General features: G+C 58.1%; 2 protein-coding genes across 5 annotated transcripts, besides 12 other annotated features; one reads left to right on the top strand and one right to left on the bottom strand.

Moving 5' to 3' along the window:
* RRAS (RAS related) lies at positions 907-5,758 on the bottom strand. Its single transcript, NM_006270.5, has 6 exons — positions 5,561-5,758; positions 2,658-2,745; positions 2,439-2,541; positions 2,234-2,342; positions 1,349-1,467; positions 907-1,275 (listed from the first exon to the last, which is right to left on the bottom strand). Exons 1-6 carry the CDS (start codon positions 5,711-5,713, stop codon positions 1,191-1,193), a joined length of 657 nt encoding a protein of 218 aa, NP_006261.1. The 5' UTR covers positions 5,714-5,758; the 3' UTR covers positions 907-1,190.
* Positions 1,810-2,376: an enhancer, noted in NCBI's record as "H3K4me1 hESC enhancer chr19:50139452-50140018 (GRCh37/hg19 assembly coordinates)". NCBI's record gives its function as "activates a minimal SCP1, AML or CMV promoter by ChIP-STARR-seq in primed H9 embryonic stem cells {active_cell/tissue: H9 hESC(primed)}" and the evidence as "EXISTENCE:reporter gene assay evidence [ECO:0000049][PMID:30033119]".
* Positions 5,495-5,884: a silencer, noted in NCBI's record as "silent region_10926". NCBI's record gives its function as "represses an Ori minimal core promoter by ATAC-STARR-seq in GM12878 lymphoblastoid cells {active_cell/tissue: GM12878}" and the evidence as "EXISTENCE:reporter gene assay evidence [ECO:0000049][PMID:35858748]".
* Positions 5,495-6,274: a biological region, named in NCBI's record as "OCT4-NANOG-H3K27ac-H3K4me1 hESC enhancer GRCh37_chr19:50143247-50143916".
* Positions 5,605-6,274: an enhancer, noted in NCBI's record as "OCT4-NANOG-H3K27ac-H3K4me1 hESC enhancer chr19:50143247-50143916 (GRCh37/hg19 assembly coordinates)". NCBI's record gives its function as "activates a minimal SCP1, AML or CMV promoter by ChIP-STARR-seq in naive H9 embryonic stem cells {active_cell/tissue: H9 hESC(naive)}" and the evidence as "EXISTENCE:reporter gene assay evidence [ECO:0000049][PMID:30033119]".
* On the top strand, positions 6,080-24,257 carry SCAF1 (SR-related CTD associated factor 1). 4 transcript variants are annotated; one of them, XM_011527194.4, is made up of 11 exons: positions 6,080-6,140; positions 10,636-10,749; positions 10,969-11,026; positions 11,723-11,817; positions 12,141-12,241; positions 12,330-12,445; positions 16,483-19,320; positions 19,964-20,046; positions 20,267-20,485; positions 23,376-23,504; positions 23,823-24,257. In XM_011527194.4, the coding sequence occupies exons 1-11, from the start codon at positions 6,138-6,140 to the stop codon at positions 24,012-24,014; spliced, it is 3,948 nt and encodes a 1,315-aa protein (XP_011525496.1). In that variant the 5' UTR covers positions 6,080-6,137; the 3' UTR covers positions 24,015-24,257. The 4 variants fall into 4 exon arrangements, with proteins under 4 accessions (XP_011525496.1, XP_005259179.1, NP_067051.2 ...); XM_005259122.6 differs by lacking the exon at positions 6,080-6,140 and adding an exon at positions 7,824-8,321; NM_021228.3 differs by lacking the exon at positions 6,080-6,140 and adding an exon at positions 7,824-7,857.
* Positions 6,275-6,944: an enhancer, noted in NCBI's record as "NANOG-H3K27ac-H3K4me1 hESC enhancer chr19:50143917-50144586 (GRCh37/hg19 assembly coordinates)". NCBI's record gives its function as "activates a minimal SCP1, AML or CMV promoter by ChIP-STARR-seq in naive H9 embryonic stem cells {active_cell/tissue: H9 hESC(naive)}" and the evidence as "EXISTENCE:reporter gene assay evidence [ECO:0000049][PMID:30033119]".
* Positions 6,945-7,614: an enhancer, noted in NCBI's record as "NANOG-H3K27ac-H3K4me1 hESC enhancer chr19:50144587-50145256 (GRCh37/hg19 assembly coordinates)". NCBI's record gives its function as "activates a minimal SCP1, AML or CMV promoter by ChIP-STARR-seq in naive H9 embryonic stem cells {active_cell/tissue: H9 hESC(naive)}" and the evidence as "EXISTENCE:reporter gene assay evidence [ECO:0000049][PMID:30033119]".
* Positions 6,945-7,714: a biological region, named in NCBI's record as "NANOG-H3K27ac-H3K4me1 hESC enhancer GRCh37_chr19:50144587-50145256".
* Positions 7,155-7,254: an enhancer, noted in NCBI's record as "active region_14951". NCBI's record gives its function as "activates an Ori minimal core promoter by ATAC-STARR-seq in GM12878 lymphoblastoid cells {active_cell/tissue: GM12878}" and the evidence as "EXISTENCE:reporter gene assay evidence [ECO:0000049][PMID:35858748]".
* Positions 7,365-7,714: an enhancer, noted in NCBI's record as "active region_14952". NCBI's record gives its function as "activates an Ori minimal core promoter by ATAC-STARR-seq in GM12878 lymphoblastoid cells {active_cell/tissue: GM12878}" and the evidence as "EXISTENCE:reporter gene assay evidence [ECO:0000049][PMID:35858748]".
* Positions 7,745-8,034: a silencer, noted in NCBI's record as "silent region_10927". NCBI's record gives its function as "represses an Ori minimal core promoter by ATAC-STARR-seq in GM12878 lymphoblastoid cells {active_cell/tissue: GM12878}" and the evidence as "EXISTENCE:reporter gene assay evidence [ECO:0000049][PMID:35858748]".
* Positions 21,303-22,078: an enhancer, noted in NCBI's record as "H3K4me1 hESC enhancer chr19:50158945-50159720 (GRCh37/hg19 assembly coordinates)". NCBI's record gives its function as "activates a minimal SCP1, AML or CMV promoter by ChIP-STARR-seq in naive H9 embryonic stem cells {active_cell/tissue: H9 hESC(naive)}" and the evidence as "EXISTENCE:reporter gene assay evidence [ECO:0000049][PMID:30033119]".
* Positions 23,699-24,402: an enhancer, noted in NCBI's record as "H3K4me1 hESC enhancer chr19:50161341-50162044 (GRCh37/hg19 assembly coordinates)". NCBI's record gives its function as "activates a minimal SCP1, AML or CMV promoter by ChIP-STARR-seq in naive H9 embryonic stem cells {active_cell/tissue: H9 hESC(naive)}" and the evidence as "EXISTENCE:reporter gene assay evidence [ECO:0000049][PMID:30033119]".

A 25,133-nucleotide genomic window follows, 5' to 3' on the forward strand; every position in this document is an offset into this window, starting at 1 on the left:
GGGACTACAGGCATGTGCCACCACACCCAGCTAATTTTTGTATTTTTGGTAGAGATGGGGGCGGGGGGGGGTCTCACTTTATTGCCCAGGCTGGTCTCGAACTCCTGAGATTAAGCGATCTGCCCACCTCAGCCTCCCAAAATGCTGGGATTACAGGCATAACCCACTGCATCCAGCCAAATTTTATTTAATTTTAATTTAAATAGCCACATGTAGCTTCTGCCTACCATATTGAAGAGCGCATTCTATAACTTTCTAGGAAAAAAAATTCCTTCATCAGATGTTCAAAGTTTATCCCAAGAAAATACCCATAAGGTCAAGAGATTGAGACCATCCTGGCTAACATGGTAAAACCCCGCCTCTACTAAAAATACAAAAAATAAATTAGCTGGGGGCGTGGTGGCATGCGCCTGTAGTCCCAGCTACTCGGGAGGCTGAGGCAGGAGAATGGCATGAACCCAAGAGGCGGAGGTTGCAGTGAGCTGAGATCACACCACTGCACTCTAGCCTGGCTACAGAGTGAGACTCCATCTCAGAAAAACACACACACACACACACACACAAACAGAAAAGGGTAGAATCGCCCTGTTGAAGGGAAAGTGGGGGGTCTAGGCACTTGGTTATGCTTTATAAACTTCTTCTGCTCCTCCCCAAGCAATAGGTTCTAGATGCGAGGGTTCTAGGTGGAGGGAGGCCTTAGAACATGTGTGCCCTGAATTCGTTCACCTTCCCAGAGTTCATTCCCCCACCCTTTTTTTTTAAGAGATGGGGGTCTCGCTATGCTGCCCAGGCTGGTCAAAAACTCCTGGACTCAAGCGGTCCTCCCGCATTGGCCTCCCAAAATGCTGCGATTACAGGAGTGAGCCACAGTGCCCGACCCTCATTACCTTTTTAGAAAGCACCTCCTGACGTTGGCAGTGACATTTATTTTTCTGGGGGAGGGGAGTTATATACAGCAGTGACCCGGAGCCCCTCACCCCCACCAGGCTTAGGTGGGGACAGGAGGCGTTGGCAGAAGGCACACAGTGGCAGTAGCCCAGAAGAGGCCAGGAAGTAAGGGTGGGTATGTGATGTGTCCTGGGAGACCCAGATGAGGAAATTGAGGCTCAGTGAGGGCCTCAGGTCACACAGCAAGGTGCGAAGGCAGCTAGTCCCGAGAGCTTGTGGTGGTTGCTTCTCTCTTGCCTGGGCTACAGGAGGACGCAGGGGCAGCCCCCGCCCTTCTTCCTGGGGGCACTGGGAGGGCTCGGTGGGAGCTCTTGTTCCTGGTATTTCCTGTGGGAAAACGCCAGTGAGTTTGGAGTGGAAGGGCTGGGGACAAGGACGACAGGAAGGGGACTTGGCTCACCGGACAGCCCGCACCAGCTGCTCAAAAGCCTCGTCCACGTTGAGACGCAGTTTGGCCGAGGCCTCAAAGTAGGCCACGTGGTGGGAGGCGCCGAAGGCAGAGGCTTCTGATCGGGGGACCTGGGGGTAGGGGGGACACGGGGGAGTCAGGTCCCTGCACTCAGGGTGACCGCAGCCAGAGAGACAGACAGGCAGGCTGGATACTCTAGGAGAGGTGACCCACTGTGAGAACTCAAAGAGGAAGAGCTCCTGAGAGATTATGGAGGGAGATGCCGCAGGGGCTTGGTGTCTTCTAAGTAAGGGATGGGGGCAGGCTTCGTGGGCACTTGCCCTGCTATGCCTTAGATAACCAGGAGTGGGCAGGCAGGGAAGTCAGGGTGTTCCCGGCAGAGGCAGGCGGAACCCCAAAGCCTGGAAATCCCCAGAGCCTTTGCCAGATGGATGAGTTCTGTGTGGAAATCGTTGTGGGGGAAGTGATGGGAGCAGGGAAAGGAGGGGCGCAACTGTGCGGGGCATCTGGCACCTGGGGAGGAACTGGGGAGCCATGGAGGGGGCCGGCCATGAGCAGGGGAGGTGCTGGGGCTGGTGGGAGGTTGGCTGGAAGGGAGGAATGCGAGGAAGGGGCAAAGAGAGCTGGCGGACGGGGGGTGAATGTCCTTTGTTCCGTCCAGCAGCCTCTCCTGAGGACACTTGCATGCTAGGCCCTCTGCTCGGTGATGCCGGGGACCCTGAAGGTCCAGTTTGGGGGTAACCCATCTAGGTGAGCTGTGTGACAGTGGCAGTCGCAGCACTGCAGGAACAGAGGAGGATGCTGATGGGGGACAGGTGTGCTGGAAGGAGCCTCCCAGACTGAGATGGGGTCCCCAGAAAGAGGGGTGTCCCGAACCTGGCGCTGTGACTCCAGATCTGCCTTGTTCCCGACCAACACAACGGGGAAGTCGTCGCGGTCCTTGACCCGCAGAATCTGCGTGAAGAGCTTGCCCACCTCGTTGAAACTGCGAGTGAAGCCGGAGGCATGAGGTCCAGCCAGCTGCAGAGCCCAGGTCCTCCCCACACCCACCCACTGCTCCGCCACCAGCAACCCCTGTCACCTCTGCCGGTCGTTAATGGCGAACACCAGCAGGAAGCCGTGGCCAGCACGCATGTACTGCTCTCTCATGGCCCCGAACTCTTCCTGGCCCGCGGTGTCCAGGACTGCAGAGACAGGGAGAGGGGCCATCGTGGGGACCAGGCTCCCCGCAGTCACCCCCAAGAGCCCTCAGCCCCCACTGACACCACCCCCATCCATCATCCATCCTTGCCGCCCTCACTGTCCAGCCGGGCTGGGATGCCATCCACACTGCAGATCTTCGTGTAGGAGTCCTCAATAGTGGGGTCGTAGTCAGACACGAAGTAGGACTGGCGGGGTGGGGAGAGGATAGTTACTGCAGTGCCCCGGCAGACAGGACGAAGCCCTGCCCTTGGGATGCCTCTCTCAGTCTCTGTCCCTCTCTCTCTAAATGTCTGTCCCTGTTGCTGGGTCTCTGCCCCCTTTTCTCTGGGTCTCTGTCCCGTCTGTCTCTCTGAGTCTTTTTTTTTTTTTTTTTTTTTTGAGACGGAGTTTCGCTCTTGTTGCACAGGCTGGAGTGCAATGGCGAGATCTCGGCTCACTGCAACCTCCGCCTCCTGGGTTCAAGAGATTCTCCTGCCTCAGCCTCCCAAGTAGCTGGGATTACAGGCATGCGCCACCACACCTGGCTAATTTTGTATTTTTAGTAGAGATGTGTTGGTCAGGCTGTGTTGGTCAGGCTGGTCTCGAACTCCTGACCTCAGGTGATCCGCCCGCCTGGGTCTCCCAAAGTGCTGGGATTACAGATGTGAGCCACTGCGCCCTGCCCTGTCCTTCTCTCTCTCTCCAGATGTCTGTCCTTGTTGCTGGGTCTCTGCCCCCTTTTCTCTGGGTCTCTGTCCCCTCTGTCTCTCTGAGTCTCTATTACTCTCTCTCTCTGGGTCTCTGTCCCCTTCTCTTTGGGTAGCTGCTCCCCTGCCCCCCTTTCCCTGCCCCCCACCCCTCCTACCAGTCTTCTTCTCTCTGAGTCACTCCTGGTCCTCTCTTTCTGGTATAAGGTACATGTCCCACATCGTGATTACATCCTAGCTGTGTGACACTGAACAAATCACTTCCCCTCTCTGAGCCTCAGTTTCCTCATTTGAAAAAGGAGGCTAAGAACAGCACTACACTCCATCCAGCACTGGCAAGATTCGGAGCAAAACCCCATTAAATATTGAATGTATCAGTTATCGGAGGCGTTGTTGTCCAGACTGCCTGTTTATATCTCTCCCTCCTCTTCTGCTTCCTCCCTCTCTTCCTCCTCCCCCGTCTCCTCCTCCCCCGTCTCCTTCTCCTGCTCAGGCGGCCTCCAGCGTCTCCTCCCAGGGGAAGGTCCCGGTTCCAATCCGGCTGCGGAGAGGCTGCCCCACCCTCGGGCCCCAGCCCCTCCCTTCCTGCCTGGGTCCTGCCCGCTGCCAGCCAAGCCTTTGGCCAGCTCTGGGACTGCCTCTGGGTGCAAGGGGCCCAGGGCTGGGGCCTTTCTCTACACAAGCAGGGCTTCCTCCCAGGCCCTTGAAGGGGTCTCTTGGTGGGGGTGAGGGGGGTGTCCTGGGGCCCCGGGGCCTCTGCGGTAGCATGTCAGGCCAAGACACTTTTCTAGGATTTCTTTGAAGCTGGGAGGACCTCCCTCAGGAATGGGGAGGAGGTTTCCTGGGCTGGGGTGGAATTTCAGGAAAGGGGGTGATGTGGAGGCTAGGGGTCTGAAGGCTGCATCTGTCGGTTAGAGGGGTGCTTGGTGAGGGGCTTGTCCTGGAGGGAGGCTGTAAGGATCAAGCCCTGGGAGGGATTGTGGCTCTGGGGGTAGTTAGGGGCGTGACCTCAGAGCACAGCGTGAGAAGCTCAGGGCTGAGAACTGGGAGCCAGCCCGGAGGTGGCTCAGGGGTTTTGGGAGGTTATAGTATATACAGTCTTAGAAACATTGAGTTCATTTATGGGGTCAGAGAAACTCCCAAGGAATAGATCTTTCTGGGGGTGCCAAGAATCTGGGGGCTTCTTCCATGGAGATGATTTGAGAGCTATTCAGGGTTTCTGAGAGGGGCTCAGGGAGTTGCAGCGGAGAAAGCATGGGATGGAGGAGGGGCTGGTTTTCCTTGGGGGTGGGGTGGGAGAGTGGAGGTTTGGGCCTCCGGGAATGGGGGATTGTCAGGACTTGGGGTCTTGGAGATTTCTGGAATGGCCAAGGGGCAGGATGTCTTTTTAAATCTCGGGTCGGAGAGCAGGACTCTCTTAGGACTGGGTAGTCCCAGAAGAGTCTCAGGGCCAGGGTCTGGGTAGAATTTCTAGATTCTGGGGGCAGTCATGGAAGGGGCTAAGAATCAAACGTGGGGCCGGGCACGGTGGCTCATGCCTGTAATCCCAGCACTTTGGGAGTCCAAGGCAGGCCGATCACGAGGTCAGGAGTTCGAGACCAGTCCAATATGGTGAAACCCCGTCTCTACTAAAAAATACAAAAATTAGCCAGGCATGGTGGCACTCGCCTGTAGTCTCAGCTACTTGGGAGGCTGAGGCAGGAGAATTGCTTGAATCCAGGAGGCAGAGGTTGCAGTGAGCCAACATCGCACCACTGCACTCCACCGCACTCCAGCCTGGGTGACAGAGTGAGTGAGACTCTGTCTCAAAAAAAAAAAAAAAGAAAAAAAAGAATCGAACGTGGTGGAATCTCAAAGGTGCTGGGCACTGGCATTCTCCCAGGAAGGCTCTCAATGGCTTAGAGGGGAAGTTGGGGACTGGGATTTGGGGGAGATAGGGCTCAGGGTGGTGGAAGGTGGCACCAAGGGCGTGGTGGGGGTCCTGGGAGTGCTTAGGGTCCGAATGGGGTGAGTATTTTGTATTTAGCATGCTCCCAGGAGGTGCTCAAAGCCAGGTCAGCAGGTAAGCGGGGTCTTAGGCACTGGGAGAGGGAATAGTGGGTCTCGGGATGCGAGTGCAGAAGGAAGGGTCCCCCGTGCAGGGGATGGAGGCTCTCCAAGAGTTTAGGTTACAATCTGTGGGGATCTTTTAAGATTAGAGGGCCTTATAGGAGGGTCTCAGTGATGGGTCAAGGGGGAAAAGGGGTCTCGGGGATCCCCCCAAGGGCTCAGTTCTGGGTCCCGGGGGACACCCTCCCGGGTGAGGGCCCACTACCTGGATGAACTGGATGGTCAGCGCGCTCTTGCCCACGCCGCCGCCGCCCACGACCACCAGCTTGTGTGTCTCGCTGGGCGGGGGGTCCCCGGGCCCAGGTCCCCCGCCCCGGGGCCGCCCCCGCCCTGTCCCGGACGCCGCCCCGCTGCTCATGTCGCCACCGCTGCTGCTGCCTTCGCTACCGCCTGCGGGGGAGCCGGGCGGGACCCGGGGGGGCGGGCTACGCTAATGAGGCTACTGCATAATCATGAGCTCTGGCAAGGAGGGCTCGCGTCTCCGGACACTTAAGGAGGGGGACGGGCCAAAGAAAGGGAGGAGCTATGTTAATAAGGGAAAGGGAACGGCGTTCGCTGCGAAGGGGAATTCCGAATGAGGCGGGGCTATGCTAATGAGAGACCTGTGCTTTGCCCTGAGCGGCGCCACGCGCTCTCAGCGGGAGGGCGGTCTGTGGGCGTGGCTATGCTAATAAGAATTTATTCTTTCAGCAGACGGGGCGGAAAGTTCCTCAGGGGAGGGGCTATGCAAATAAGGACCCCTGTGACACTGCTGCTTGGGGCATCGTCTCCGAGGCCTTAGTATGGTAGGCGGAGCTCGTCGACTCGCGCGCGCGGCCGTATATAGGGCGCTCCGAGGAAGCAGCAGGTTTTGAGGAGTAGCTCCACCTCCCTCCTGGGATCCTAGCCAAGCTTTCGACCCCGGCGTCTGGGTTAGAAGCTAGAGTCTCCGCCCGCTAAGGGACCCAGGCTTCCGGTTCCCGCTGTCCCAGCCAAGCGGAAGACAGACTGGGAGGAGAGTGGGGCCCTAGAGGGGGACAGCAGGGTAACGGGGCAGGGAGGGGCCGTGAGATCACTGCATTCCTAATCCATGAGCCAGCTCGCCCAAGTAGGGATGCCTGGGTCATGAAGAGCCTGGGGCCAGGATTTCTGGGTCTTGAAGGAGAAGGAAGCAGAGGGCCCAGACTCCTGGGTCCTTAGGAGAAAATGGGGCTGGAGATGTGGACTCCTGGGTCCTGGGGAGGAGGGTGTCAGGGAGGAAGGTAGACAGGTTCCTTCGTACTAGGTTCGGTAAAGGAGGGAGCCGGGGGCCTGGACTCTTAGGTCCAGGAATTGGAGAGGCTGGGGACCCAGGATTCTGGATCCGAGCGAGGGCACTGGCTTGGGGGGACCCGAATTCGTATGTGAGAGCTTGAGACCAGGACTAGTCTGGGAGACCGACTCTTGGATCCGAGGAAGGAAGAATCAGACTCCTGAGTCGGAGGGAGGAGGGAAATAGGAGTCTGGACACTGCTCTGAGTGAGAGGATTCGGAATTCAGACTTCTCTGTACTGAACGAGGCGGCTATGGGGTCGGGCTTCTAGGTTCTAAGTTTATTTTTATTTGTTTATTTTTGAGACGGAGTTTCCGTCTTGTAGCCCATGCTGGAGTGCAATGGCGCGATCTTGGCCCACTGCAACCTCCGCTTCCCGGGTTCAAGCGATTCTCCTACCTCAGCCTCCCGAGTAGCTGGGATTACAGGCGTTAGCCACCACGCCAGGCTAATTTTTGTATTTTTAGTAGAGACTGGGTTTCACCATGTTGGTCAGGCTGGTCTTGAACTCCTGATATCAGATGATCCGCCTGCTTCGGCCTCCCAAAGTGCTGGGATTACAGACGTGAGCCACCGCGCCTGGCCTATTTTTATTTTTTTAGAGGCGGGGTCTCCCTATATTGCCTAGGCTGGCTTCTAACTTCTAGGCTCAAGCCATCCTTCCGCCTCAGTCTCCCGAGTGGGACTACGGTGTGCGCCACTGCATCCCGTCTGGTTCTAAATTTAGGGGGGCCTAGAGGATCTGGATTCTGAGAGCCCCAGAATGTGGGCAGCACAACATCCAGCAAGTCGTGCTCACTCCGCCGGACTACAATTCCCTTGCGTCTGTTCTGCCTGGCGCCTCTTACGTCACCTCCTGTTCCGCCACCCTTTCCGCGCGCGCGCAGGGCACTGTGGGGCGTCATCGCGGGCTACCGCGGCCCCGCCCACTTCACCTCTCACCCCATTAGCTGTCCCCGCGCGACAGAGGCGGTGCGCGGACTACGCCTCCCGGCGTGCATCGCGCGGACCCCGCCCCATGTGTCCCATTGGCTTCTGGGAAACCGAGTGCGGTTGCCTTCCCGCCGGCCTTCACGTCGCCGTGCTCGGTACTTGAAATCCCGGCAAGCTCGGCGGCGCTTTAGCTCCGCCTCTCTCCTCCTTTGCTCACGAACCCCGCCCCAGCCCGCCCCGCCCCGCGCCGGGGCCGGAGCCGCAGCCCGAGCGGCGGGGTAAGATGGCGGCGGCAGTCCGGGCCGCGGGGCTCGGGCCTATTGGGGTGGGCGGGGCGGAGTTGGGTCGCTAGTTGTCCCGGGGTCCTCCCCACAAGCCACGGGTCCTAGAGGGCTTCTCGGGGCGGTCTCGGGCCCGGCAGCTGCGGCGAAACCTGGCGCCGAGAGGGGGGCCTTCTCAGGGCCCCGGGACGCATCCGTGGGTTCCTGGGGGCGTCTATGGGGCGTCTCCGAGAGGACTTGGGGCGTCTCTGGGCCTAGACCGAGCCTAAGGCCTGCCCTCCATCACACAGCTGGCCTGGATCGTGTCTGTAGACACTGTAGATTGTCTTTTTGGGCTGACCGGAGGCTAGGGTCTGGTTAGAGGGTTCTGGGGCCATCTTGAGATCTTGAGATATGTCCCAGGGGTGAAGGAGGGTCTGCAAGACCTGAAGAGTATCTTCAGAGCCATCTAGAGGCCTGGGGTATGTCTTTTAGGGCTGGAAAGTGTCTGCATGGGCTGGCCTGAGGATGCAACTGGTCTGCATAAGTCTGGGGCCATTTATCAGGCCTAGAAGGAGTGTTCAAGGGCTAAGAAGTCATTTAGGGCCCCCTAGGGGGTTGGGTTATGCCCACCAGGGAAGGGCGCCAAATATTGAGATGTACTGAGGGTCTGGGGTCTCCAAGGTATGGGTAGTGTCTAATAATGGGTGACAGGAGGCTGGGGGCAGTTAGAAGGACCTGGAACCATCTAGATGGCTTTAATGTGACTGCAGGAATGCAGTTTTGATGCCTGGAGCAAATTCGAATGCCTTTGGGGTCAGAGCAGCTTGTGGCGAATAATAATACGGAAAGAGAATGAGGAAATTTTGCCCAGCTTAGATATACTTGCCCTTCAGACAGTAATTCAAATGAAAAATGTTTTAAGATTCTGCATTACCCTGGGGGTTATTGAGAGAGTTAGAATTAATCTACATTAGTCTGGAAGAGTCTGGAGGGTCATCTAGACCCACTATTACAGTGCTTTTCAAGGGGAAACCTGGGCCATGTTGACCGTGATCTGCATTAAGATACATTTTTTCATTGAGACCTGGTACAGACAGTCATAATGTATTTAACATTATATAACATAATGTATTAACATTAACTCACCTTCCACGAATTGACATTTCCACTTACTACTTGTGCTGTGCTGTGAAGAACTATTTTGTTCTATTTACTTTTTAAAACAAGCTATTTGTGAAGCACTAAACTGGTATATGACCCTGTTGTTGGGGAAACCACTGATCCAGATAGGACCTAGCAGTATCTGCAGAGCATTCTTCTGTTCAGAAGATCTCAGTAGCTGAGGGTGTGTCTGCGAAGCCTGGTGCTTTCTAAATGAGCAAGCAAGCATCTTTGTATACTGCAGAGGGTTTGGGGATCCCTCAGCCTGTAGTCAGCAGATGTTGATTAAGCTTCTGATATGTGACAGTCACTGTTGTAGGTAGCATGTGCTTCCCCGGGAGGTGCTGGAGAGCAGTTCCAGGGCCAGGAACTGGGGCTGAGCTTATTGAGTATTGGTGAAAGAGGCTGGGATGTAATAGACTATCAGGGTTGGGTGTGTCTTAGGAAGTTAGGAATTAGGTGGAGCTGGGAGGCTGAATATGGAGGCTTGGCATGGTTTGAAAATCTATATGGGATCTAGAACAGGACCAGGGCCTTGTCTTTGCAGGCATGCTGTGGGGGAAGCGAGGAGACAGATGTAGGGGAAACCTGGGCGTTAAGGGCTAATAGTGTCATTCCTCTTCATCCGTATTGAGCACTTGAGGTGCTCTAAATGTGTGGCAGAAGTCAGGCTTTGAGTATTCACAGCCATTCTCTGAGATAGATGCTCCTATTTCGTGCATTTACAATTAAGCATACTGAGTTGTGGGTTAGGGATTTTGAAGCTTTCTAGGAATTTTGAGATTGGATATTGTCTTATGAGTAGCAGATTTGACAGTCATGGGGAAGCTTACAGCTGAAATATTCATATTTTTCTGAAGCCCTAATCAAGACATCCACCTGTTTGATGGATGATCTTTCAACTGCCTGACTGGGGAATCATATCAAAGAATTTCCATGACATTGCAAAGGCTTTGTGCAGATGGCGATAGGTAAATGCCTCCTGTGAAGTTTTCCTTCGGCATGTCTTTCTGAAGTTTAGCGTTTTCATTTTAAAAATGGCATACTGGTTTTGCAGATCACTCAATGAAGTTTCCAACTTAGGTGTATAAATACAATTTGGGGGTGGTCCTCACCATCGAGGACAGTTGATGCTCTAGGAAGCCGTGTGGTGTTTAAGGCATGGTGTTGAATATTGCCCAGCACATTGGCCTTGGGAAAGGTGGGTTTATAGGACTGTGGAACACACCCTTTGAAATCACAGTGCAGCACACACAAAAAACCTTGGTGTTGGCTTTGCCTCTTAGGAGGCCAGGGAATGAGGTCTTGAAGTTTGGATAGGTTGTTGGGGAAGCTGCGGGAATTGAGGAGTGAGATGTTAAAAGCGGAGGCCAGGGAGGCCTCCCTTTGACATAAGAGGCACCTGAGACCCAGAAAAAAGGAAGAGAATTGCTCCTAGTCCCTGGGGTGTCTGTGCTGGGTCCAGCGCCCACCCAAGCACAGGGTGGAGTGGGAGGAGGTGGAGGAGAGGAGGGGTGCCAGAGGGGATGCTGAGGGAGATAGTGTGGGGCCCTTGAGGTCTTCATGTCTATCCTCTACTTCCATCCTTTCTCCCGGGACCTCCACTCCAAACTCTCCCCCCTGGACCCCCAGGTGACCATGGAGGAAGAAGATGAGTCTCGAGGGAAGACAGAGGAGTCGGGGGAGGATCGGGGCGATGGTCCGCCAGACAGAGACCCCACGCTTTCTCCTTCTGCCTTTATCCTGGTGAGGCTGCTGGGCTCCTGGCACTGAGGGATGGAGGAGCTGGGCATCCACACTCCAGGGGCCTGACTCCAGGGCCTGAGGCAGGGGCGCTGGACTCTTGGCTCCCTTGAAGCACTTGAGTCTAGCTGTCAGTGTCTGGGATGTCTGTCTCCCAAGGGGCAGAGGTTGCAAAGCATCTGCCTGGGTCCTCTGACGCTTGGTTCTTCCCCCCTTCCCCAGCGAGCCATCCAGCAGGCTGTGGGAAGCTCCCTGCAGGGGGACCTGCCCAATGATAAAGGTATGGCGGCTTCCGGTTCCTTTTAGCCCCTGCCCCCTCTCTGCATTCTTTATCCTAATGTCATTCATACAAGCTTTTCTGAAGCCTCCTGGGTGCCACCCTTGTGCTGGCATGGGGAGCCAAAAATGGGCAGACACCCTGTAGCTGCCTTGGAAGGGCCTAGTGTGCAGTGGAAGGGAGACAGGCACAGTGCTGGGAGAGGGCAGGAGGCCCACTTGAGCTAGCATGGTGGGAGACGGGTCAGGGCACCTTCCCCGAGCAGGGACAGTGAACGGCTCTCTAAGGACCTAGAAGAGTCTAAGGACCTAGGATTAGAGGGAAGCCTGATCAGCTGCAGCAGGCCTACAGCACGGGTGCAGCGGCGAGGGGCTGCGCTGGGCTTCCTTGGGGCTGGCATGCAGGAGGGTGTGAGTGGGGTTGGGGGAGGCAGGAGAGGTCTGTGGGGACTGGATCCCAGCAAGGCCTGAATGCCAGGTTGAGGTGTCTGAGGGCAGACAGGAGGACGAATGGCTGAGCGTCGCAGCCTCTGAAGTGGGTGCTGGGAAGTCCTCCTGGGAGGTGGCGCATGGAGGCCTGGAGAGCATGCGGGAGGCTGGTTCCGCTGTCAGGAACTAGATCAAGCTCCTCTTTCCTCTACCCCGCAAGTCTCTGCAGCAAGTCCCCTGTGTCCAATCCCCCATGCAAATCTCTCACCAGATGGCTCTCGGTGTCATGGCCTTCGATGGCGGCGCTGCCGGAGTCCACGGTCAGAGCCCCGTTCCCAGGAATCAGGGGGCACTGACACGGCTACTGTGAGTAAGAAGAGGGGGCTGGGGGCCTGGCTCACGGGTATCAGGGAGGAAGGGATGGGGGCCTGAGTCTGGGGGAATGGGGTTTGGGGACCTGGACTCCTGGCTCTGCGATGCTGACCAGGGGCAATGTTGGAGAGTCTGGGGGCCTGATCTGTGGGCCTGAGCTTTGAGTGTTGATGGCAGTCAGGCTATAGGAATTAGATCCTCAGTTTTCTTGGGGATCTTAGATGTCTGGGTTCCTGAGAGGTTAGGGAGTGGGGAAGCAGGATTTGCCAGTCTTCATGTGACCAGGGACGGCGTAGAGCCTCTCTGGCCTCTTCCAGGTGTTGGACATGGCCACGGACAGCTTCCTCGCAGGGCTGGTGAGTGTCCTGGATCCCCCGGATACCTGGGTTCCCAGCCGCCTGGACCTGCGGCCTGGCGAGTGAGTAGCTGGGCAGCTGGAGTGGGAGAGGCCTCAGCGTGAGAGCCAGAAGCACCCCTGAGGCTCACCCACCCCTTCCGCCTTGCAGAAGTGAGGACATGCTGGAGCTGGTGGCTGAGGTCCGAATCGGGGACAGAGATCCCATCCCTCTGCCTGTGCCCAGCCTGCTGCCCCGTCTCAGGGCCTGGAGGACGGGCAAAACGGGTATGTGGGGCCAGGGCGGAGCTGGGCAGGTGGTCGTGGAGTTGTGTGGGGATCGGCTGTTTTTGGTAGTGATGGTAGCGGTGATCATGTTATTTAGACAAAACCTTTCCCTTCTCTTCGTATTAGACGTGATTAAGGCTGTAGGCGCATACAGATGTACATAAAGTAAAAACTGATGTGCTGGGGCTATGTGGGAGTGGTCAGCGTGTGTGACAACTGGTTTCGGCACGCTAAGTATTAGTGTCACTGCACTGGGCGTTCATCTCCCCAGGAGGGGGACTCTTCGAATCTCTATCTTCAGAGAAGCAGACAGCCTGAAAAAGGGCAGGCACTTGCCCAAGGGCGCACAGCCAGATGCTCCGTGGGGTGCCTGGGCCTTGAGCCCTGGTGTGTCTGAGTCTGAAGCCCAAGTTTTTGATGTCTGAGATGTGCGCTGCCCAAGGAGGAATCTCTTCCTCCAACCCCACACACAACGGTAACCCTGTGAGCCCTTTAGACCAAACGCGAACGCACATCTCAGTTGCAAGGAGGACTTGTTACTATGCACATCACTGGGCCCACTCCCAAGAGTTCTGATTCTGCAGGTCTGGGGTGGGACCTGGGAATTTTCATTTTAAACAATACATGCTGCTGAGCCCTGGACTCTGTTGAGAACCCTGGGTTTAGGCCTTCCTTCTACGTGAACATCTGTATTTGGAGGAGGGGTTGGAGGGAGAGGAGAAGAAGGTGCAGTCAGCTATGGGCACCAGCTGTGAGCCGTGAGCACCAGTTCTGTGGTAGAGCAGGCACACCACTCTGTGCCAGGTCATGTTTACCTTGTTTACCTTGTTTCGCTGTGTCGCCCAGGCTGGAGTGCAGTGGCATAATCTCAGCTCACTGCAACCTCCACTTCCCGAGTACAAGCGATTCTCCTGCCTCAGCCTCCTGAGTAGCTGGGACTACAAGGTGCATGCCACCACACCCAGCTAATTTTCGTAGTTTTAGTAGAGATGGGGTTTCACCATGCTGGCCAGGATGGCCTTGATCTCTTGACCTCAAGTGATCCGCCCGCCTCAGCCTCCCACAGTGCTGGGATTACAGGCGTGAGCCACTGTGCCCTGCTACCTTGTTTGTTTTTTTTGAGACAGGGTCTCACTGCGTCCCCCAGGCTAGAGTGCAGTGGCACAGTCACAGCTCACTGCAGCCTCAAATTCCCCGGTTCAAGTTATCCTGTTGTCTCAGTCTCTGGAGTAGCTGGGACTACAGGTGCATGCCACCATGCCTGGCTAGTTTTTTTTTTTCTTTTTTCTTTTTTTGAGATGGAGTCTTACTGTGTCACCTAGGCCGGAGTGCAGTAGTGGGGTCTAGTCTCTCTGCAACCTCCGTCTCCCGGGTTCAAGTGATTCTCTCCTGCCTCAGCCTCCTGAGTAGCAGGGATTATAGGTGCGCATGCCACCACATTGAGCTAATTTTTGTATTTTTAGTAGAGGTAGGGTTTCACTGTGTTGGCCAGGCTGGTCTCAAACTCCTGACCTGAAGTGATCCGCCTGCCTCAACCTCCCAAACTGCTGGGATTATGGGCGTGAGCCACCACGCCCAGCCTTTATTTTTTATTTTTTTAAAATTTTTAATAGAGATGAGGTCTTGATATGTTGCGCAGGCTGGTCTTAAACTCCAGAGCTCAAGCAATCCTCCTGCCTTGGCCTCTCAAACTGCTGAGATCACAGGCATGAGCCACCATGCCTGCCACACCCCCCCCCCTTTTTTTTTAACAGCTGGAAATGATTTATCCATTAAGTACAGTGATATGGTGCCTAGGACTTATGACATTCTTAGGGGCCCACAAAAGTGTTTCAATTTCTTTAAAATCAGAAGCTGTAGGGCTGGGCACGGTGGCTCACGCCTGTAATCCCAGCACTTTGGGAGGCCAATGTGAGCGGATCATGAGGTCAAGAGATTGAGACCATCCTGGCCAACATGGTGAAACCCTGTCTCCATTAAAAATACAAAAATTAGCTGGGCATGGTGGCACACGCCTCTAGTCCCAGCTACTCGGGAGGCTGAGGCAGGAGAATTGCTTGAACCAGGAGATGGAGGTTGCAGTGAGCTGAGATCGTGCCACTGCACTCCAGCCTGGGTAACAGAGTGAGACTCCCTCTCAAAAAAAAAAAAAAAAAAAATCAGAAGCTGCAGAGGATAAGTAAACAAATGGGTCAGGCAACGTTCCTCTAAAACTTGATTTAGGAAAACAGGTGGTATGCTGGATTTGACCCCTGGGCCTTAAGAGTGATAAGGGTGTATCCGGAAGCTAATAGTAGTTGTTTTCAGGGGGACTCTGAGGTTATGTTTTCTTTGCTTATTCCAGGTAGCTTTAAAAAGAAAAGAAAGTTCACCCATAATCCTGTCCCATACAGAAATTTATATAAAGCTGTGGATCTCGCGTGTTTGCAGAGCGCTCTAGTCTGTGGAGAGTATTTTGTGCTTAAGGTGCTGGGAATAGCAATGAGGCTAGGAAAAGCTGAGGCTCAGACTGTCCTCACCCAGCAGCAGGTGCAGCCTGGCTCTTTCTGCGCACTCATCTATTCCTCCGCTTATCCTGGGAAGTAAATGCTGTCATCATCACCCCTGTTTCATCTTCCCCTAAGCCCTTGGCAGCTGAGGGACCGTACACTCCACTCATTGATATTTTTTTTGTTTGTTTTTGAGATGAAGTTTTGGTCTTGTTGCCCAGGTTGGAGTGCAGTGGTACGATCTCGGCTCACTGCAACCTCTGCCTCCTGGTTTCGAGTGATTCTTCTGCCTCAGCCTCCCGAGTAGTTGGGATTACAGGCATGTGCCACCACACCCGGCTAATTTGGTATTTTTAGTAGAGATGGGCTTTCTCCATGTTGGTCAGGCTGGTCTCGAACTCCCAACCTCAGGTGATCCATCCACCTCGGCCTCCCAAAGTTCTGGGATTACAGGCATGAGCCACCCCACCCGGCCATAAAGGGTGTTGGATGAATGAACATACCCCCATTTTATAGATGAGGAAACTGAAGTAAGACACATTGATCCACTTGCCTGTGGTCATGTGGCTGGTGAGGGCCAGCCCCTGGATCAAGGGGTGGCTCTGGTGCTGCCCTCTTGACCCCTCTCCTTCCCTGGCACTGTCCTCACACCACTCTGCTGGCATCCTTGCCTGTGGTGTGGCCTCTGTCAGCCATCTCCATCGTGTGACTGTGGCATCATGACTGTAGTACTTAGCACAGTGCAGCGGGCTCTTTGGGGGCGAATGAGGTGACATACGAAGCACCATGCCTGGTTTGGAGGAAGAGGCAAACCTTTGTCATTGCCACTGTCACTGGTCAGTGGTGTCTTTGAGTCCTGAGCAGATGTAATTCCTTGGGTGGGGACTCAGCACAGAGTGAAGAGCTTGGGGTGAAGACCAGCCTTCCTGGGCTCCCCAGCTCTGCCATTTCCTGGCTCTGCACTGGAATCTCACCCTCTACCAAACGGGAGAAACTCCCACGAGAGGCAGCTGGCGCAGCAGGCCAGAGCTTGTTTTTGTCTTGGAGGGGGACTTAGGTTTGAATCCCAGCTCTCCCCCTGCAGCCTGTTTTCCTGTTTCTTCTCCCCCCAGGATGGAGTGTGGTGTTGTGGTCATAGCTCACTGCAGCCTCCACCTCCTCCTGGGATGGGTCGCCGGCACTGGTCAAGATAGTTCCTAGTTTCAAGGCCAGGGTACATTGCCCAGGGTCAGGCCAGTGCTGTCTCAGGATATGGGAGTGCAGGTTCGGGGCCGCACTGACTGAGTTTACACCCTGACTGCTGCCTTCTCTCTGTGTGCCCTTGGGGAGGATACTGCAGCCCTCTGCCTCAGTTTCCTCCTGTGACCTTTGGGTTAAGAACCATGGTGTGCAGTTGTTGGGAGCATCCTACGGCTGGCTCCTGTGAAGCACTTGGGGCTTCCTGGGCAGGACCTGGTGGCCCAGGGAGTGTCCACGGCTGGGCCAGCAAGCAGGCACCAGGAGGGAGGCAAAGGCCCTGACCGCCTCTCTCTCCCTGTTCCTTTGCAGTTTCTCCACAGTCGAACTCCTCTAGGCCCACCTGTGCCCGTCACCTCACCTTGGGCACGGGAGACGGGGGCCCTGCCCCACCCCCTGCCCCCTCCTCTGCATCCTCCTCCCCTTCCCCTTCTCCCTCATCTTCCTCCCCTTCCCCTCCCCCACCCCCACCGCCCCCTGCACCCCCAGCCCCACCTGCCCCCCGATTCGATATCTATGACCCCTTCCACCCCACCGACGAGGCCTACTCTCCACCGCCTGCTCCGGAGCAAAAGTACGACCCTTTTGAGCCCACCGGCTCCAACCCCAGCTCATCAGCGGGGACCCCCTCACCTGAGGAGGAAGAGGAGGAGGAAGAGGAAGAAGAAGAGGAAGAGGAAGACGAGGAGGAGGAGGAAGGCCTGTCCCAGAGCATCAGCCGCATCTCGGAGACCCTGGCGGGCATCTACGATGACAACAGCCTGAGCCAGGACTTCCCAGGTGACGAGAGCCCCCGCCCGGACGCGCAGCCCACACAGCCGACTCCCGCCCCTGGAACGCCGCCCCAGGTGGACTCCACCCGGGCTGATGGAGCCATGCGCCGGCGGGTCTTCGTGGTGGGGACCGAGGCAGAGGCTTGTCGGGAAGGCAAGGTCTCGGTGGAGGTGGTGACCGCTGGTGGAGCCGCCCTCCCGCCGCCCCTGCTGCCGCCCGGCGACTCGGAGATCGAGGAAGGGGAGATCGTCCAGCCGGAGGAGGAGCCCAGGCTGGCGCTGTCCCTCTTCCGCCCCGGCGGCCGGGCCGCCCGGCCTACACCGGCCGCCTCGGCCACCCCCACGGCCCAGCCCCTTCCTCAGCCTCCCGCTCCGCGGGCCCCCGAGGGGGACGACTTCTTGTCCCTGCATGCGGAGTCGGACGGCGAGGGCGCCCTGCAGGTGGACCTAGGGGAGCCGGCTCCCGCGCCGCCCGCCGCCGACTCGCGCTGGGGCGGCCTGGACCTGCGCCGCAAGATCCTGACCCAACGGCGGGAGCGCTACCGCCAGCGCTCGCCCTCCCCGGCGCCCGCGCCCGCCCCGGCCGCCGCTGCTGGTCCGCCCACGCGCAAGAAGTCCAGGCGGGAACGCAAGCGCAGCGGCGAGGCCAAGGAGGCCGCCTCGTCCTCGTCGGGCACCCAGCCAGCGCCGCCCGCCCCGGCCTCGCCCTGGGACTCCAAGAAGCACCGCTCGCGGGACCGCAAGCCCGGCTCCCACGCCTCGTCGTCCGCCCGCCGCCGCTCCCGCTCCCGCTCCCGCTCCCGCTCCACCCGCCGCCGCTCGCGCAGCACCGACCGCCGCCGCGGGGGCAGCCGCAGGTCGCGGTCCCGGGAGAAGCGGCGACGGCGGCGGCGCTCCGCCTCCCCGCCCCCGGCCACTTCCTCATCGTCGTCCTCGAGGCGCGAGCGGCACCGCGGGAAACACCGGGACGGTGGCGGCAGCAAGAAGAAGAAGAAGCGGTCGCGGTCCCGGGGTGAGAAGCGGTCTGGGGATGGCAGCGAGAAGGCCCCGGCGCCCGCCCCGCCGCCCTCTGGCTCCACCTCGTGTGGTGACCGCGACAGCCGCCGCCGGGGGGCCGTGCCACCCTCCATCCAGGACCTCACGGACCACGACCTCTTCGCCATCAAGCGGACCATCACGGTGGGCCGGCTTGACAAGTCCGACCCCCGAGGACCCTCTCCTGCTCCGGCCTCCTCACCTAAGCGGGAGGTCCTGTACGACTCCGAGGGACTGAGCGGCGAGGAGCGGGGCGGCAAGAGCAGCCAGAAGGATCGGCGCCGCTCGGGGGCCGCCTCCTCCTCCTCCTCTTCCCGGGAGAAGGGGTCTCGTCGGAAGGCGCTGGACGGGGGTGACCGGGATCGGGACAGGGACAGAGATAGGGACAGGGACAGGTCATCCAAGAAGGCCCGGCCCCCCAAGGAGTCGGCGCCTTCCTCAGGGCCCCCGCCAAAGCCACCAGTCAGCAGCGGCTCAGGCTCTTCATCCTCGTCGTCCTCCTGTTCTTCCCGGAAGGTGAAGCTGCAGTCCAAGGTGGCGGTGCTGATCCGCGAGGGTGTCAGCAGCACCACCCCGGCCAAGGATGCCGCGTCAGCCGGCCTGGGCTCCATTGGCGTCAAATTCAGCCGTGACCGCGAGAGTCGCTCCCCCTTCCTCAAACCTGACGAGCGGGCCCCCACTGAGATGGCCAAAGCAGCTCCGGGCAGCACCAAGCCCAAAAAGACCAAGGTCAAGGCCAAGGCAGGGGCCAAGAAAACCAAGGGGACCAAGGGAAAGACCAAGCCATCCAAGACCAGGAAAAAGGTCCGCAGTGGAGGTGGCAGCGGGGGCAGTGGTGGCCAGGTGTCGCTGAAGAAGTCCAAGGCGGATAGCTGCAGCCAGGCGGCAGGCACCAAGGGGGCGGAGGAGACTTCCTGGTCCGGGGAGGAGCGGGCAGCCAAGGTTCCTAGCACCCCGCCCCCCAAGGCAGCCCCACCACCCCCTGCCCTCACTCCGGACTCGCAGACCGTGGACAGCAGCTGCAAGACACCTGAGGTCTCCTTCCTGCCCGAGGAGGCCACTGAGGAGGCTGGGGTCCGAGGTGGGGCGGAGGAGGAGGAGGAGGAAGAAGAAGAGGAGGAGGAAGAGGAAGAGGAGGAGGAGCAGCAGCCTGCTACCACCACGGCCACCAGCACTGCTGCAGCCGCCCCAAGCACTGCCCCCAGCGCGGGGTCCACAGCCGGTGACTCGGGGGCGGAGGACGGGCCAGCTTCCCGTGTCTCCCAGCTGCCCACGTTGCCCCCGCCCATGCCCTGGAATCTGCCAGCTGGTGTGGACTGCACCACCAGCGGCGTCCTGGCCTGTGAGTGTCCCCTGGGGGAGGGTGGTGCTGGGGCAGGTGAGACAGGATGGGGACTGGAGGGTACAGACTTAGAGGCAGTGGGGTGCCCTGGCAGGGAGAGGTTTATAGGGACATAGACTGGGAGGGTGGGGGTGAGTAAAGGCCAGCCAGGCTCTAGGTGCCTGGGTGTACTGGGAGAGAGGGGCCGGTGAGAGCAGGTGGTGGCCAGCACAGACTGGAGTGGTGGGCTGGGTTCTGGGATTCCCCTAGACGGGGAGTAGGAGAGAGGGACCAGAAAGAATGGCTTGAGCAGGGCATCGTATTCCTTACGGATGGCGGTTGCCTCTACCAGACTGCAGAGGTGGGGAGAGAGGTTGGGACTGGCCACAGCGGGTCAGGAGGCAGAATCTCACTCCTGCCACTGTCTCATCACTGCATGACCCTGGCCAACCCCGCACCCACACACCTGGAGTCCCAAGAACATTCGTGGTATGGGCTGTTCTCTCATTGGCCAAGGCCCCCTTTTCCCAGTTCTGAGCGTGAGGCTTTGTGGCTGTTCTGGGGCCAAGGGCAGGAGATGACAGCAGGTGTCCAGGTGAGGTTCACCAGCTCCTGTCCTGTCACCTCTCCCATCTTCATGTTGTCACCTCTCTGCCTCCTGCAGTGACTGCACTTCTCTTCAAGATGGAAGAAGCCAACCTGGCGAGCCGAGCGAAGGCCCAGGAGCTGATCCAGGCCACCAACCAGGTGGGCTCCCCTGGGGGAGAGTCCCTGCCGCCCCTTCTTTTGTCCATTGCCTCGGGTTAGGAGAGGAACCGCGGGCCTGGCAGCTCTGGGGCAAGGTATCGGCCTGAAGAGGAGCCTGTTGCCTCAGCTGTGGGGAAGTCAGCGTGGGAACAGTGGGGTGCACGTCCCCTCTTCCCCTCCACCTCCCTTTACTCATCACCCCTCTGTCCTCGTCCCACAGATCCTCAGCCACAGAAAGCCACCCTCAAGTCTGGGGATGACCCCAGCTCCTGTGCCCACCTCTTTGGGTCTGCCCCCTGGCCCCTCCAGCTACCTGCTTCCTGGCAGCCTCCCTCTGGGGGGCTGCGGTTCGACCCCCCCCACCCCCACCGGGCTGGCTGCCACGTCTGACAAGAGAGAGGGCAGCAGCAGCTCTGAGGGCCGTGGGGACACAGATAAGGTGAGCTGGCCTGGGGAGAGGTGGGGCGGTGCTGACAGTTCTGTAGAGAATATGGACAGGAACTGAGACGCGGGGGCCCAAGGAGAAAGGGAGACTGAGGCAGGGAGACAGGGCCGTAGAGACCAAAGTCATGGAACCATAAGGAACTCCACTTTGCTGGAATGGGTGAGCAGGAAATGCGTTAGGCGTGTCCAAAGGAAAATCGCGTCTGTGCGTGTGTGGGGCTGTGTGCGTACACACCACATATACACACCCTGGAAGAGATGCCCCGCGCTGCAGCCCACCCCTTGATTATCTGTTGCTCGCGCTGTCTCCGTCTCTGTGAGTGGGGGAGGGTGGTTTCCGAATGAAAACTCAAGAACCTGTTTGTAGATGAAGCAGGGGAGAATGGGTGCCAGGCAGACAGTAATGTAGGTTCTTACTCAGCTGCTCTGGCCGGCTCCTACTCCTGGGCTCTGGAGCTGTTTCTCTCTTGGTCAGGTCTAGATGTGGGTTTTTGTTTTTGTTTTTCTTTGAGATGGAGTCTTGCTCTGTCACCTGGTCTGGAGTGCAATGGTGCCATCTCGGCTCACTGCAGCCTCCGCCTCCAGGGTTCAAGTGATTCTCCTACCTCAGCCTCCCGAGTAGCTGGGATGACAGGCACCCGCCACCACACCCAGCTAATTTTTGTATTTTTAGTAGAGACGGCATTTCACCACGTTGGCCAGGCTGGTCTTGACTCCTGACCTCAGGTGATCTGCCAGCCTCGGCCTCCCAAAGTGCAGGGATTACAGGTGTGAGCCACCGTGCCCGGCCTTGGTTGGTTGGTTTTTGAGACAGGGTCTCGCTTTGTCACCCAAGCTGGCATGCAGTGGCACAGTCACAGCTCACTGTAGCCTCAGCCTTGATCTCTCGGGCTCAAGGGATCCTCCTACGTCAGCATCCTGTGTAGCTAGGACTACAGGCACGCGCCACCATGCCCAGCTCATTTCTTAATTTTTTGTAGAGTTGGGGTCTCACTATGTTGCCCAGGCTGGTCTCAAATTCCTGAGCTCAAGTGATTCTCCCACCTCAGCCTCCCAAAGTGCTGGGATTATAGGCATGAGCCACTGCACCCAGCCTAGATGTGTTTTCTTACAGTCTAGTAGCCCATAGCCAGACGGTGACGTTGGCCACCCTTACACAGCTGTGTACCGTGCCAGATAAAGCTGTATAAACCCCATTAAACATCCTGTGTGAGCCGCAGAGGCGGGGCTGCAGTTTAGTCGGTCACTTGTCCGTAGCTTGTGCCTTGCGCTGCAGGACTCGGACGGTGAGGACCCCCTGGTCTACAGTGGCCCTTGCTCTGCCCTGGTCTGTGCTCTGCCCTTTGCCCCGCTTTGCCCATCCGAGATGGGTGTTGGGGAGCAGCGTCTCTCTAGAGACCCACATCCTGTGGGGCCAGGCAAGCCTGAGAAGTCCCTCCAGGGCAGCCTGTGTCTCTTCTGGCCACAGAGTTCCCTAACAGCTCAGTAGCTCGTCAGACAGTGTCACTGATGTTGCTCCTGGAGTCGGCTAGCCATTGTGCCCTGCCCTTCCCAGGACTCAGTTTACCTGCCCCTACTTTGATAGTCACCTGGCTTGGGAGGGCAGCTTCTCCAAGGGTGGTGCCAAGGGACTGTCCCTTGTGCCTGCAGAAGGCCTGTTCTTCTCTGGTCCCACGTGGCTCTCTGGCTAGAGGTTTCCTGTCTGCTTTTGCAAGGATTCTGCCTGAGGCCAGGGCTGCAGCTGCTGCCCCGAGCCTGCGGCTGCGGGATCTCCTAGCTTGCTGGCCACAGGCGGGAAGAGCCTTGCCTCGGAGGCTCTCTGCCCTGTCCCTGTTGCGTCCTCCCCTTTTCATCCCATGGCCATCCCCCTTGGAACAGGCACAGCTCCCCTGGATTGAGTCTTTGCTCTGTACCCAGCCTGTGCCATGTCCTCCATGTGTGTCGCTGTAGTACTGCCCATAGGTGCTGTCCCCGTTTTACAAATGAGCCACAAAGGTGGCCAGGCACGGTGGCTCATGCCTGTAATTCCAACACTTCGCAAGGCCGAGGCGGGTGAATCGCTTGAGCCCAGGAGTTCAAGATCAGCTTGGGCAACATAGTGAGACCTAGTCGCCACAAAAAGTACAAGAATTAGCCAGGCGTGGGGGTGGCACATCTAGTCCCAGCTATTCAGGAGGCTGAGGTGGGAAGATCGCTTTAGCCCAGGAGACCAGGGGTACAGTGAGCAGTGATTGTGCCACTGCACTCCAGCCTGCATGACAATGAGAGACCCTGTCTCAAAAACAAAGAAACAAAAAAGGAGCCACAAAAAGGTTTGGCTGAGCATCCCAGGGGTCAGAGACAGGGAGTGGCAGACCAGGCTTCTGATACAAATGGGCTCAAGGTCAGTCCCCACCCCCACTCCCCAGTGCCCCTCACCCCTAGCCACCCCCTCCATCCCCTGGGTGACCAGAGCAGTACTGTAAAAACCTAAACTGAGTCCTCCCCGCTCCCGCGGTGAAAAGCCCTGTGCAGTTTTCTACAGCCCCGCCTCTAGAGTCTGATTCAAAACCAGCTGCAATTTCTTGGCCAATGCCTGTCTTCTCATCAGACTGAACTTTGTGAGGGCAGGCGACACACATGTCCTGGTCCCGGCCAGGCCTGGAGCAGCCCAGGGTTCGGCCTGGAGGAGATGTTCAGTGACATGCAGAGGCCCAGGCCTGGCCTTTGGTCCCGGGCACCTGCAGCAGAGGGCGCATGGGACAGACCCTCAGCAGGACTTCCAGCCTGAGAGCAGCTGGACGGCCAGAGAGGTTAGGCTGGCAGCAGAGGCGAGTGGAGGTGGAGGTTCCGCAGGTACTCACTGGCCCTTGCTGTGTCTTCCCCCGCTGTCGCCACCCCACCAGTATCTGAAGAAGCTGCACACGCAGGAGCGGGCGGTGGAGGAGGTGAAGCTGGCCATCAAGCCATACTATCAGAAGAAGGACATCACCAAGGAGGAGTACAAGGACATCCTGAGGAAGGCCGTCCACAAGGTGGGCACCCGGAGAGAGGGGCAGACACAGGCCGGGGAGAGAACGAGCTGGAGGGACAGATGTGTGCAGACAGATGGACGCGGATGGGAGACGGGGAGGAGGTCAGTCTGGGAGGTGAGGAGGGTGACAGGATTTTCTCAAGGCCACCTGGGCCTGTTCCGCTGGCCCTGGGGCACCCATCGTCTAGGGGGACAGAGGGACTTTGGCCTGGTTATTGGGGAAGCTCCTCCTACCGCAGTTCCAAGCTGCGCCCAACAGTCCTGGGTGGATGGGGCCCCGGGAGCCTGGTGGTGACTCCAACTGTCCCCGGCCCCCCAGATCTGCCACAGCAAAAGTGGGGAAATCAACCCAGTGAAGGTGAGCAACCTGGTGCGGGCCTACGTCCAGCGCTACCGCTACTTCCGCAAGCACGGTCGCAAGCCAGGGGACCCCCCAGGGCCCCCACGGCCGCCCAAGGAGCCAGGGCCCCCAGACAAGGGTGGCCCGGGCCTGCCCCTGCCCCCTCTCTGAGAGCCCTGGCCAGCTCTTCGCCCCTCACCTCTTTGAAACTCTGGACGTATTTATGGCTCCACCTCCCCACCTCCCTCCCCCGTCAGTGGGATGACTGGGGGAGGGTTGCTGCAGGGAAGAGGAGAGCCCCCTGCCCTGCCCTGCCCCGTGTCCACCTCCCTTGCCCCCAAGCCTGTCCCCAGTGCCCCTCCCTTCTGTTTGTGCCCCTCTCCCCAATTTCATTAAAGATTTCATGAAACATTACCCCTGAGCCCCATGGTTCTAACCCTTTGTTTTCGGAGACAAATTTGCCAGAGGGTTGGGGAGGGACCCCCAGGAGGCTGAGGATGGGAGACAGAGACCAGACTGTGACTTGGGGCAGCTGCCTCCCCTGGGCCTCAGTTTTCTTATCTGTGTAGTGGGTGTTGTGATGATTGAACAAGACACAGGTGGAGCACTTAGCACAGTCTCTGGCTGGGAGCGAGCTGCTCACAGGGAGGCAGGGGCCGGACCCCACCTGATCAGCATCTTCCCAGCTCGGCTCCTGGGTGCCATGTGCCTGCCTTGGAATTGCTCCCAGAGCAGGATCTGTGTTCCCCATTGAGTTGGCTTCTCTTTTCAGCAGCCCCGTGAAGCTGGGGTGATCTCATCAACTGTCCTGAGAGGGAAACTGAGGCACAGAGCAGCAAGGGCCGAAGGGTGAGTCAGGGCTGCGCTGGCTTCTGCCAGTTTCATCACCCAGAACTGCGGCCCAACCAGGAGAGGTGACAGTGCCCAGGGTCACCAGGCAGGCAGGCTTTGCAGGCTCCAGGGTGGCCGCAGAGCCCCTTTACCAAGACCCCTCCAGCCCCACGTGGAGGGGAGCCTGAGGCCTGGAAGGAGAAGGACCACTTGCCCAAACTGTTCATAGGCAAGGCAGGGGGCCTGGGTTCTGGCTAGTCTTTGTGTTTCCTACTCTGTGACCTTTGCGCCTCTCCCAGCCTGTGTCTTGGTCTACAACACGGGGACAGCCATCACCCACCAGGTCCCTGGGCAGAAGTGAGGAGGTGTCAGCTGCCCCCTGCAGTGCTTGGTCTTCATGCATTGAGCACCTGAGTTGTATATAGCTGCACAGATGGGTAAACTGAGACCCTGAGCGGG

Source organism: Homo sapiens, chromosome 19 (assembly GCF_000001405.40).
Source record: "Homo sapiens chromosome 19, GRCh38.p14 Primary Assembly".
NCBI classification, from domain to species: domain Eukaryota; kingdom Metazoa; phylum Chordata; class Mammalia; order Primates; family Hominidae; genus Homo; species Homo sapiens.

Excerpts from the sequence above, each read along its gene's own strand:
- RRAS (NM_006270.5), bottom strand. The coding sequence starts at position 5,713 with ATGAGCAGCGGGGCGGCGTCCGGGACAGGGCGGGGGCGGCCCCGGGGC. Across the intron at positions 2,343-2,438 it reads GCCATTAACGACCGGCAGAG|TTTCAACGAGGTGGGCAAGC; the intron begins GTGACAGGGGTT and ends CTTCACTCGCAG. Across the intron at positions 1,468-2,233 it reads ATCTGGAGTCACAGCGCCAG|GTCCCCCGATCAGAAGCCTC; the intron begins GTTCGGGACACC and ends CCCTACCCCCAG.
- SCAF1 (XM_011527194.4), top strand. Across the intron at positions 10,750-10,968 it reads CTCCTTCTGCCTTTATCCTG|CGAGCCATCCAGCAGGCTGT; the intron begins GTGAGGCTGCTG and ends CCCCTTCCCCAG. Across the intron at positions 20,486-23,375 it reads GCCGTGGGGACACAGATAAG|TATCTGAAGAAGCTGCACAC; the intron begins GTGAGCTGGCCT and ends CCACCCCACCAG.